The sequence below is a fragment of the Homo sapiens genome, chromosome 7 (genome assembly GCF_000001405.40).
Source record: "Homo sapiens chromosome 7, GRCh38.p14 Primary Assembly".
In the NCBI taxonomy this organism is placed as follows: domain Eukaryota; kingdom Metazoa; phylum Chordata; class Mammalia; order Primates; family Hominidae; genus Homo; species Homo sapiens.
Window position 1 is genome coordinate 10,650,983 of NC_000007.14, and position 12,818 is coordinate 10,663,800.

A 12,818-nucleotide genomic window follows, 5' to 3' on the forward strand; every position below is an offset into this window, starting at 1 on the left:
AAAAGTATGCCAATCACATCTGCCAAAATGTCAGCCTAAAACATCCAGTGTTATAAGGACTACTTGAGCGATGGGCTTATATCCACTCTATAATCAACTATATTCTGATTTTTTTTAAAAAAGTGACTTCTAAAAGATGGCTCAGTTCAATTTTATTATCTTTTTACTTTCTATTTTTACATACACTGCACATTCATGAAGTAGCTCAGCCATATAATTTATACATAAATAAATGAATAGCAGGAGCCATGCACAGAAATTTTTTACTGATAGACTCACACAATATCAACTTTGGAAACCTTCTACCCAGAGGACTGAACTTTACTCCTACCAGGGGTCCAGATTGAGGCTATAAATGTCCCTTCCTATCTTCATAGGAATCTTGAAACTCTCCTACTTCCACAGAGGAAGATGACTGAAAAAAATGCATAGCTTTACAGAGATGGACACTCCCAATTCTGTTATTCCTGGTAGCATGCCCCTCACTTAGCTTCCTATAACCATAAAATAAGTTCATGCAAAATGTCCTTTTATCATCACTCACCAAAAAACTAGAAAACAGATTCTAATTGGAATGCTACACAGAGGTAGAAAAGAGTGAAATCATGTCGTTTGGAGCAACATGGATGCAGCTGGAGGCCATTATCCTAAGTGAATGAATGCAGAGACAGAAAGTCAAATTTCAAATGTTCTCACTTATAAGTGGGAGCTAAACAACGGGTACACATGGACATAAAGATAAAGACAACAGGCACTGGGGACTCCAAAAGGTGGAGGGGGGTGATGGTTGAAAACTACCTATTGGTTACTGTGTTCACTATTTGGGTGATAGGTTCACTAGAAACCCAAACCCCAGCATTACCCAATATACCTATGTAACAAACCTGCACACATGTATCCCTTGAATCTAATATAAAATAATAATAATAATGATTATTACTAATTGTATGCTTTTTCTCCTATTTAAAAAAAGAAAACAAATTAAATAAAATAGATATTTATCCCCCGTATTTAGCCTTCTATCTGATAGAGAAGAAATTGGGGAAGAAGGCAGAGGTTTACTTAACCTTTTTGAAGGTTTATACAAATAAACCTTTACTGCCTAAACAGAGTGGTAGGTCAGCTTCTATTATTTAAAATGTTAATCTGATTTCTCTTGGGTTTTGGGTTTGAAGATCTGTGTCATTATGAGTTTGCACATTAGACAGATGGTCAGTGTGAGCCTTTATAGCCTAGCCACACATATTCTCTAGCCCTGGGGGACCTTGTGTCTTTGATTACCTCTGCAGGACTTAGGAAGACTAGGAGCTGGAATTAATCTCTACTGGAATTTGCAAAACTCTATTTAGGTCTAGAATTTCCCATGGTATCATCTTTTAATTCTGGTTTCATGTCTTTTATTCAAACTTTTCCTTGAACCTGTCATTTTGGTCTATGTCCTAATTTTCAGATCACAAGTCTGGACATTTTACTGTCTTCTAGATTCATTTCAGCACTCCCAGAGTATTGGAGGAAACAAAATTGTAAATAAACTGAAGAACCACTGTGGTAAGTAACATAGTAGACGTGTGAACAAGGTGACATGAAAGCACCAATGGCCCACTGACTTGGCCTAGATAACTTGGAAAAGCTTAGCGTCAGTTATATTTAAAAATATATCCTTGAAATGACTCACATGGACAGGGCTGAGGGCTTGTCTTCAGGGGTGTGTCACATAAAATAATGGAGACACGGGTGTTAACAAGGAAACTTAAAACCCACCAGGTGGCTTAGTGTGGCTGAGAATTGCATGGGTGATGTTGGTAGATGGAAATGGAGAGAAAGGTGAAATAGAGTGGCAGAATGTGAAGTCAGTAAAATAGACCAAGATCAAGTTGTATGGGGCTTTTAATGTTTTGGGGGAATTTAGATTTTGTCTTGGGGTATTAGAGAATCATCATGGGTTTTTGGTTTTATTTTGTTTTTCTTTTTGAGACAGAGTGTCGCTCTGTTGCCCAAGTTGGAGTGCAGAATGGTGTGATCTTGGCTCACTGCAACCTCTGCCTCCTGGGTTCAAACTATTCTCGTGCCTCAGCCTTGTGTGTAGCTGGGATTACAGGCATGAGCCACCATGCCTGACTAATTTTTGTATTTTTTGTAGAGACCAGTTTCTCCATGTTGGCCAGACTGGTCTCGAACTCCTGGCCTTAAGTGTTCTGCCTGCCTCGGCCTCCCAAACTGCTGGGATTACAGACATGAGCCACCACTCCCAGCCTATCATGGGTTTTTAACTATTAGAGTGGCTAACTATTTTTTTCTTAGAAAGAGTTCTTCCAGGCTCCTACTTCTCACCATTTTGTTGCTTCTAACCCAGTATTTACTATGAATTTTGACTGTTTGCAAAGCCTTGATATTTTCCCAATGGTGGCTGACCCCACTGTATCTTACACAGGGACCTTAGAATTCGCTCTGGCTATTAGTTCCAGCTTCCTACATTATGTATACCCTTCTATCACCACTCAATCTTGACTTTGGCTTCCACTAAAATATATAAATATATTTGGAAAAACTGTCAATGATCTAATAAGAAAAACTTTGAGTACTGCACTTTTCAGATTCACAAATTTGTATTTTAATGTTTCAGGGAATTTAAACACTGTTGAAATTTCTCTAAAGAGAAATGAAACAATTGGACAAGTCTTTCCTGATCCTGGTAATTTAGGAAAGCAAGTTAAGAACAATGTCTTCAATTATTTTTTGTTTTATTACTTCTATAAAATTGTAATGAAGCAAATACCCCTTTCTACACTTTGCAGGTGACGCCATGCACCTTTACAGACAAGGAGGAGAGTTATTCAACTGCCACTGAACAACTCTGGCTGCAACACAGCTGCTAAGAGTTCTTTATGTCGGCCGGGCGCGGTGGCTCACGCCTGTAATCCCAGCACTTTGGGAGGCCGAGGCGGGCGGATCACGAGGTCAGGAGATCGAGACCACGGTGAAACCCCGTCTCTACTAAAAATACAAAAAATTAGCCGGGCGCAGTGGCGGGCGCCTGTAGTCCCAGCTACTCGGGAGGCTGAGGCAGGAGAATGGCGTGAACCCGGAAGGCGGAGCTTGCAGTGAGCGGAGATCGCGCCACAGCACTCCCGCCTGGGCGACAGAACGAGACTCCGTCTCAAAAAAAAAAAAAAAAAAAAAAAAAAAAGAGTTCTTTATGTCGATATTCAGCATAGAGAACTTTGGGCTGCAGGAGGTCATAGAAAATAGGATCATTGCAGCAGAAATAGTTGAATCACTCCTGAAACTGTTTATGCTCTTGTCTTACTCCTCATATCCCCACTAACAGATCTATGTTTGGTCATAATCAGACTGGATTAAGAGAAAAATCAATTTAATAGTAAAACTTCACACCTCCTTTGTTTTTCTTTTCTTCGCTTTTAATGTTTTTAGGGTAGTCACAGAAATAATTACAAACATCCTCTGAAGTAGCTTTTAAAGAAGTGAAAGCAAAAACAAACTTAGATAACCAAGAAGGTTCTTAGTTAACTAATTGCTGTTAAAAAATCTACACATTCATTATCTAAAAATATTAATTCCCAAAACATTATTTTCACAAAATAACTTCTCTAGTTTTCATTCTTCTGAACAAGACTTTGCAGAGATTGCTGCTACTGAGACGTCAAAACACCAAGTGGTTACTTTTTAATTTAGCCCAAGGTAGAATTCTGTAGTTTAAAGTCAGTGATCCATTGTGAAATTCAATTTCCCAACTGTTTAATTAATTTATGTATACAATTCAATAATATTTAATATGGTGTGCACATTCAAGATGCAGTAAGCTTCCATATAAAAATCTAGGGCAGGATTCCAAAAATATCTGAAGTTTCTTTTTTTCTGAAAACAATTAGCAAGCATTTAAAAAATTAATTTTGTCATACCCATTATGAAGTGTCTACCATTAAAGGACCAAAAATAGTCATTTACTTGTGAAATGTAGAAATGAATAGGCTGAACTGCTTCCCCAACCCTTGTGCTGATTTAGCTGCTGTTTCAACTACTTATTGAGAATACCAGACTAAACGTCTTTAAAATCAGCCATAAAATACTCAAAAACATTTATTTGCCTTTCTCAATAACAAAATGAATTCAGTATTTCATTTGCTTGTTTTGTAGGGTGTTTGGAAGGTGATAGGTCAGTTAATGATTCCTTATTGAAAGAGTCAGAAGGAAAACACCACAGTCATCTGAGTTATAACTCCAAGTGAAAGGACAACAAAGACAAGTCAAAGGTCAAAGGTGTAGAACACCTCATTCCAAATCATGTGAACACATTTCACAAGTGCTTATTCAAAGAATGGAGCTCAGGAGAAAACTCAAGTATCATTGTTGTAAGAATAACTTCTATAGGACCTAAACAAAAATACAGATCAAACATGGTCTTCATGAAAGGCTGAAAATAGACAACCCAGAGGCTGGAACAGGCCTACAGATACATTTTATTTGGCCAATAGAGTTTTTAGTGGTTGTTGTTGTTTTAATCTAATAAATTTTCAACAGATAAAAACAAATGATTGCTTACAAAAATTCAGTTGAGGTCTTCTCTTGAAAAAACAAAAAAAACACAAAATATAATCTGGCAATGCTCTATTTATATTCCCACATTGTCACCATTGGTGGGAGGCAAGCAGGTGGCTCTCACCTTAGACAGAACAGTGGTCTCTTCCAGTTACCAATGTCCTGTAAAGCTGCTTTACCCATTTATGCTGTCTAGTCCTCATAAACTTTCGAATTAATACATTTTTGCTGCTAATTACATTTTTGCTGCTTACTACTTGATAAACTTTTTTAATAAAGAAGATAGAAATACTAGTGACAAATCAAACTGGCAACTCTATTACATTAGAAATGAGCACCTTAAAGTCACTCAAAAAAATTTGTACAATCCAAGTGACAAAAAAAAATCACTTAATATTATGGAAAATTCTACAATAGGGAAAGAACACTAGTGTAATATTTGTCTCTAGTATTTTGGCCCCATAACACTCGTGTAAAATATATAATATTATTTAAAAACTCATTATGGAAATAGTATTGGTAAAAATAACATAAATGTGAATTGTAAGATTTTGACTGGAAAATTTTAAGCAGAAAGAACACAAATTATAGGGTGAATTCATCCTGAGCTCACATTCTCACTCTATCACTTACCCATCCAACCTTAAATTTCTTCACTGGAAAATACCTATCTACTCATTCATTTATTCATTCATTCAAAAAATATTCACCTAGCAACCTCTTTGGCAAAGTACTGTGAAAAGCTCTGGCGATACAGTATGTGTAAAACGTTTTTCCCCTGCCCTCCTGGGTCTTACTCTGTAGCTAGGAAAACAAATATTAGATAGCTAATTACACAAATATTAATTTGTATTAATACCATGTTTAATTATCATTGTGGCAACTCTGAAAAAAACCATTTAACAGGGAATCTTGACCTCTCTTATCTAGAGTTAGAAAAAGCTCCTGGAGGAAATGATATCTGAAATAAGTTTGAAACGATAGGTAGTAAATTAACTATGTATACTGGGGAAGAGAGGCCTGAGAGAAGAAACAAATGGGATAATGGCCCTAGAACAGGAAGAATCTCTGCTTTTTCAGAGAACTAAGAAGGCGGGTGGAATGGAAGTGCAGAGAAGGAGGGAGTGGTAGGGAGACTGGAGAAGGAGGTGGGGCCTTTGCATATGTTTAGTATTTTCACTTCCATCCTCAGGGCAATGGGAAACCACTAGTCATTTAGGCAATAAAGTGTTTTGAGAGCTTTGGCTGATTACTCTGGCTATAGTGAAAAGAGTGGATTCAAAAGGGAGAAGTGTAGGTAGAAATGCAGGGAAACCATTGCAGCAGTCCCACTGAGAACAACATTCATTCAAAATAGAGTGGTAGCAGAGGAAACGAACAGAAATCGAGCAACATTTAGAAGTTATGACTGGCAGGAGTCAGAGATAGATTGTGTTGTGTGTGAGGGGGCTGAGGTGAGTGGGGTCAGATCTGGACTTGTTAATTTGGGATGCCTGTAAGATATTCAAATATAAATATCCATTAGGCAGTTGGGTATGTGGACATAGAGCACAGGGGAGAAATCAAAGCTACAGACATCAATGTAGATAATGATATTTCTTCATATATCTGTTAGGGAAATTTAATATAAAAAGTGTATAACAATGCCTGAAACATAGTAGGTACTTGCCCCTCCCTTAAGCAACTGCCTCTTCTACTTGGTAAATTTCTTCCCCAAGTGAAGACAAGTAGTCCTGAGTTCCATTTCCTAGGCTCCTAAGATCAATAAATGAGCAGACTAATTGCTTTTTTCCCACATAGTATTTAGGTCCTTTCAAATGACCTCTAAGGCCTCTAGCGCCATCCCACAGATCACTGAAATAGAGGAAGATGTGTATTGGAGCCCTAGGCAGCCATTTGGCAGTGGGGAGAATGCAAATAAGAGCCCCAAGCTTTATGTAGGGAAAGCTCCAAATGCTAGAGAAAGCTTAATATGGTAAAGCACATGTGTAACTCCACAATGTGCAAATTCCAAATCACCAAGTAACATTTCTCAAAAGGACCTATTGCCCTAAGAAATAGCTACATTTCTCAGCTTGTGTGCTACCTCCTTAACTTCTGTGAACTTCTTGTCATTTTAGGGTTTCTTACATGGTAATTATACCTATAGTTTGAACACAAGCCTTTCAAAAAATACATCATTTGGGGGGAAATCAGTCCCAATAACAAGATGCTACTTACCAGAAGTCTAGGAACAAGGCTAATCTTAAGCAAAAAAATGTATAAGCTTTGGCTGAAGGGCAAGACTGGTCATAAAAAATAAACCTATCTCCCCTATTCAAACACCAGATGAAGCAAAGATTTTTCTTTTTTTTTCCTTTTCCCCTAGAGCAGATTATAATCAATCTCAAGAAACTGAGTAGGTATTTTTATATTATCTATGTTCAGAATTTGTAGCATATGTCCAAACTTTGTGTATTTCAGTTTTAAAAAGAATCTGCAGAATATAATTCTTGGCAATCAGCCAGTAAGTGCCTACACACTTTTCTAAGCACAATTAGTTGAAGCTTTTATTTTTCTTACCTTATATTGGGCTTTTTTGCACCAAAGTGATTTGACTCTGCTCAGAAATTATGAAATTATGCAATTGTAAAAACCCTTGAAATCTAAAACCAGAATTATTTTTTGCACAGATAATAGATACATAGATCAAACATACATGTATACAACCCACTCCATGTGTCAAACATTTAAACTTTGTCAACCAAATCAAGGAGATCATTTCCTTCTCCAATCTAAGAAATGCTGATTTCTGCTAAGCCCACACATGATTGAATCAATTATATTTTTATGAAACACAAAATACTGAAAAACACAAGGACACAATGTAAAAAAAACTTTCATGATCTCTTACGAAAAATTTGAGCTGAAATAAAAGCACAATCTATTAACCTTATGTCAGAGTTTACATAATACCTAAGCTCAAGACCAATGATGAGTTGTAGTGTGTGGGAGCAGCACAGAATATTAGAAAGGCTACCTACTGTGGGACTTATGTGATTCATTTAAATTATTTAAGCCCATTTTGCCACCTGTAAATCGGGTGATAATTTCCAGCAGGCAAAACTATTTGAGGATTAAGCTATTGTATCTGAAGCTACTGACACATAGTAAATACTCATAAATCGGGGCCATTATTATGTATTATTGTTATGATTATTATTGATCTGAATTTTATTTTAAGATAATTTATTTTAGCATTGCGCTATTTCTTACTTAATGTCAGTTTATCACAGGAAAATAAATGTTCATTGTTAAGAGTCCTTGGTATGCATTACTCAATAATTAAACAGGCTACACTGTTTTCTATCAAAATGTCATATCAAGTCTTAATACAATTGGTCAAATCATTAGCTGTCAAATTACTGTGCTGTATTAAGTGTTACTATACTTGCTTAAGTGTTTTATTTCTTATTCTGAAGGTGGTTGAAACTTTTGTTTGTGGGTCATTTACAATAAGAACCAATTAAGGGTTGCATTTTTATATTTGATTGGGCTAATTAGATTAATCAATCTGATTTATATTAATAGGGATAAAGCCATAATTTTTAGCTAAACCATTACATAAACAATGTGCTAAAGAATGTATATCTAAAATGCTAGAGTAGATGTCCTATAACAAGAAGAGAATAAATCTTATCCAATCTAAAGATATACCAAAGCAACCAGACTAAATAAATGGGAGATAGGGTAAACCACCTAAATAATTAAATGTTTTATTTAAATTGACTTTTTTTCTTATTTTAGTTGGTAAAATTCTGAATTCCTGAAGTGATATTGCCATATTATATATATAAATACTTTATAATTTGCTATAATTTAAAAGAATGCTTTTTCAACATTAAAACTATGACACTGCCCTATATACCATATCAGTTCAAAAATTATACATTTTAGATAACCATCCAGAGATATTTCTCTACTTCTTGGAAAAAATACCAACATTGAAAACATCAAAAAAATTAAACAGTTCTTTTGTCCAGATGTTTTGTGTTTTTAGATAAGAAGTTTTGTTTCATTTGAATATAAACTCAGAAGGAGATGAAAGTTAAACTTCTGATTTAACATCACAAAAATAAAAGTAAATTGGAAAAAAAAGAAGCCTCAACATCAAGTTAACTAAACGTTTCAACTTTTACAAATGGTTGTGTGTGTGTGTGTGTGTGTGTGTGCACATACGTATACATTTCTCTCTGTTCCCACTTCAACTATACTTAAACTACCCAACTGTAGATACATATTTCCACTTTTTCCTTGTGCAATTTTTTAATACTTCTTGCCTTGGTTTTTTTTTCCTATGTACCCCCTGCTAGTTCAGCCCTCACCTCAAACAGACCACCAGGTTACCCATATTACAGCTCAACTCTGCTTGTGAGCAATCTTGCCAGAGCCATCAAAGCAATTCCACACATTACAGCTTTAGCAACCTGACTCCAGAATATCTTTGCTTCCTTACATCTAACTATTTCTGAAACTGCTCTTTCTAAGCCTCTTCCTCAGCCTCTTGTTTGACTAGAAATCCTTCAAAAAAGAAAAAAAAATGAGGTGGAAATAATTTTGTGTTACCATCTCTCCTGGCTTTCCCTAATGTATGAAACTCTCGTGGGAATTAATAAATTCTATAATGAAGGAGTCTGATTTTTTAAAATCTAGCATATTAGCATTTTCTTTACTTACTTCAAAACTGACACATTCAAACAAAACTAACATAGTCACTAGTTCTTTTTCAAAAACACTTTCTAACATTTGTTCTACAGATACACTTCAAACTGCAGATACAGAAATCCTGTTCTTAAGCTTGGTCTGTGCTCCAGGCAGATTGGACAACTCCCATTTTCTGGTGACACCTTGTGCTTTGATGCTCTGGGCCATCTCCACTTGTCATCCGCCCCCTCCCCATCCACCCATCTATAATACCTTAGCTTCCCATCTCTGCCTAGTGATTTGTGTATATATCTTATTTTTTCTACTACATTGTAAGCTTTTTGAGGACCTGGTTACATTGACTTAATTTTGGAGTATCTTTCAGAATGTCTTATAGCAAAAATGTTAATATTTGTAACCTTAGTGAATTCACAGTCATGGATTACATGCAGAAGCCCTGAGGGAGGAAAGAGTATTTAAGGGGACTCTATTTGGGAAACCTATGAGGAATGGACAGTAAACTACTGTGGGGAAAAACAGAAGCTCTCTCAGCCATTATGTAGTCAAGAGAAGAACATTGTTTCTATCACTGATGGTTGGGAAGAGACTCAAATGGAACTCCTTTGCTTGCAGTGTAGAGAAAGAAGAAAAACTAACACAAGAACTACAGCTTACAGCAGGGCTCTTCAAACTATGGTACATTACTTTGAAAAAGTCAGAATTTTTAAAAAATAATTTCAAGGTCCTCAATTCCTGTATATATTCTGTCTGAAACTTTATCTGCCTGTAGAGTCACTGAGGTGCAAGTTCTCCTTCCTCTCTCCCTCTCCCATTCGCCAGCCTTCCATGTTACAAAACAGCCCTCTCATGGTCATTGCCCCCTAAAGTGTAAATCTTCCACAGCTGCTAAGAAACAACCTTACTATTATAAATTAATAATAATAATTCAATAATTATCTGCAAAAATTTGTAATCGTTTATATCATTTTGATCAATCATATGATAATATTTATAATATAACTCAATAGAAAAGATTAATACTTAAAGCCTTTGGTTATATAAAAAATTAATTTATAAATAATTTTTGTTGTACAGGAGTATGATAGGGTGATCAATAAAAATCCTGCAAACATAAAATTACATTACATTGGGACAAAAATTTTTGCAGAAAGTGGAATGGGAGTATAAATTTGAGGGAAAATAAAGAATAATGTAAATGTTTCAATTATTACATTAGATTTTACATATATGTATACGTACACATATATACATAAATCCACATATATAAATATTTTAGACAGATGATGGTTATCAAACTACTTATGCATTTTTTTGGTATTTCTTTGAATACATGTAAAACAATAATGGAAAATTTTACCTCTTGCTGTCAGTATTTATAATATACTGTCAGCCCTCTGTATCTGTGACTTCATATCCACGGACCCAACCAATTGTGGATCAAAATATTAAAAATAAAAAATAACAATATGGCAATAAAAATAATACAAATAAAAAATATAGTATAGCAACTATTTACATAGTATTTACATTGTTTTAGATATTACATGTGGTCTAGAGATGACTTAAAATATACAGGAGAATATGCAAAAGTCATATGCAAATACAACACCATTTCATATAAGGGACTTGAGCAGCTGTGGATTTTGGTATCCAAGGGGGTCCTGGAACCAATCCCTGATGGATACTGAGAGAAGACCATACTGAACTTAACATACTTTCTCATTATTTTCAATTTTTTTCAATTTATTATAAAATATGAAGATCTAAAATGTGTAAAGGGTAACTTTTTTAAAAATTAGTTTTAGAGATACATGGCCAAAAAAAAACAAGGCTACAAGGAAGAGGCTTGAGGCTACTGGCTACTACCGTACTCCTAGATTGCAAAATTGAATAAAATTAGCAGTTATTACTTGTGGGCACACATATATGCACACATTCTCCTTTTTATTGCATTTAACTCCCCTCCTTTGCCTATCTCCTCCACCAGCTCCATCTCTGACATCTGATGATTTGATCCAAGAGTTTCATTCTCTGGCAAGAATCTAAGATCAAAACAATGACCTGTGGGTATCGCCCTCTTCCTACCCTAGACTGAGCCCCATTCAGTAACTAAAGGATACAGCGGAGAATGGAGGCTCCCAAGGAAGTGGTAGCCAGGGCATCAACCAAGAGGGGAAGGCACAGGGAGGAATATAGCTTAAACTCTTCAAAACAATATAAATTATTACAAATTTTCACAGATAATTATTGAATTATTATTATTAATTTATAATAGTAAAGTTATTCCTTAGCTGCTGTGAAGGATTTACACTTGAGGGGCAAAGTACAAAGTCTTTGAGAGTACAAGGCTTTTTGAATAAGGATGGCCCTTTTAGAAGCTGAGCAGTCCTAGAGACAAGGCTGTGACTCCACACAGTCTGAAAGATGGAGCAGTCGGCTGTGTAAACAGGTGCAGTGGAACACTGATGGAGAGTGGGGCTGAGAGCCAGAAGACATGATAGTGTGGCCTTGGGACCAATGCCTGTGTTCCTTGACCCTCACTGTCTCAGGCTGAAGACCACTATGGTTGTATGGCCCACACTTACATCTTTTGTTCCAGGAGTTTTTAAAACCCCTTTTAGAATTGCTTGTATGCTGTCCTCTTCAATCCTGGTGTTAAAATCACAGAAAAGACTAAGGAAATATTTACTTAATTAAGGTTTAAACGTGCACAATTGAGGGAAAAAATAGCTCGAGATGCTAAAATTTTTCATGTTGATTTTCCACATTAATCAAATTCTGAAAATAATTACTTAATCTTCCACTTCATTTACCTATGTAGATCAGGCTGCCTCCACCTGAGGGGAAAACACCAGATCGTGACATTTTCAGAGCTATTTTCAGACCACAGAAAGGCAGATCCAGTCCTGCCAAGGGCCATCATGGGCAGGAACAATGGGAGGTGTGGCCCAAATGTTTATTAGCATCGAAGTATGTCGGTAACAATGCTGTTCTCTCTTCCCACACATAGATACACATATTTTCATACACTTGCCAAGGTGCAAATTCACTTAAGATGGTTGATGCTATTTCTCCAGGACAATCACCAAGAAAGTAAGCTTTAGCAATTTATTTCTGACCAAATAAAATTTTCTGATGTTCCTTTGGATGAATGTTTGTCCATATCTGGGAACTGTGTGCTGTGACTTGGAGAAATGATCACTCCCTTAGAGTCAGATGACCTCAATTCTAACCACGCTCTACCATTTATGATTTGTGTGACCTTAGCAGGTTCATACTTCCTCATAAAGTGAAGATAGTATCTGCCTCAAGAGGTTGTTAAATAAGAATATAAGTAAAATTGAAGTCAATGTTAATTTTCTTCCTTTCTTTTTGACACTGGAAAAGTATTATCACAGCATAAAATGTGTGGCTTTGAATTGGTCTCCACCTGAAAGCAAAAAGACAATGAAATGAAAGTGAAACACACAACAGTAAGAACATTTTTGTAGGTTCAGCAAAAAGATTAATATTAGAAAAAGCAAAAAACTGCAAATTATATGAATCTAGGTTAATTG

The 12,818-nt window shown here is 35.8% G+C and overlaps 3 long non-coding RNA genes across 3 annotated transcripts in view; 1 reads left to right on the top strand and 2 right to left on the bottom strand.

Annotated features, from left to right (window-relative positions):
* Nucleotides 1-12,818, bottom strand: part of MGC4859 (uncharacterized LOC79150) — a 330,125-nt gene that overhangs the window by 201,163 nt on the left and 116,144 nt on the right. The gene's annotated exons all lie outside the window — the stretch shown is intronic.
* Nucleotides 1-12,818, top strand: part of LOC107986766 (uncharacterized) — a 35,048-nt gene that overhangs the window by 10,639 nt on the left and 11,591 nt on the right. Inside the window, exon 3 of the long non-coding RNA XR_001745090.2 lies at nucleotides 1,451-1,548. This is a non-coding gene — a long non-coding RNA (uncharacterized LOC107986766). The remainder of the gene's footprint in view (nucleotides 1-1,450; nucleotides 1,549-12,818) is intronic.
* LOC124900231 (uncharacterized) overlaps nucleotides 12,355-12,818 on the bottom strand; it is a 40,219-nt gene continuing 39,755 nt past the window's right edge. Inside the window, exon 2 of the long non-coding RNA XR_007060210.1 lies at nucleotides 12,355-12,691. This is a non-coding gene — a long non-coding RNA (uncharacterized LOC124900231). The remainder of the gene's footprint in view (nucleotides 12,692-12,818) is intronic.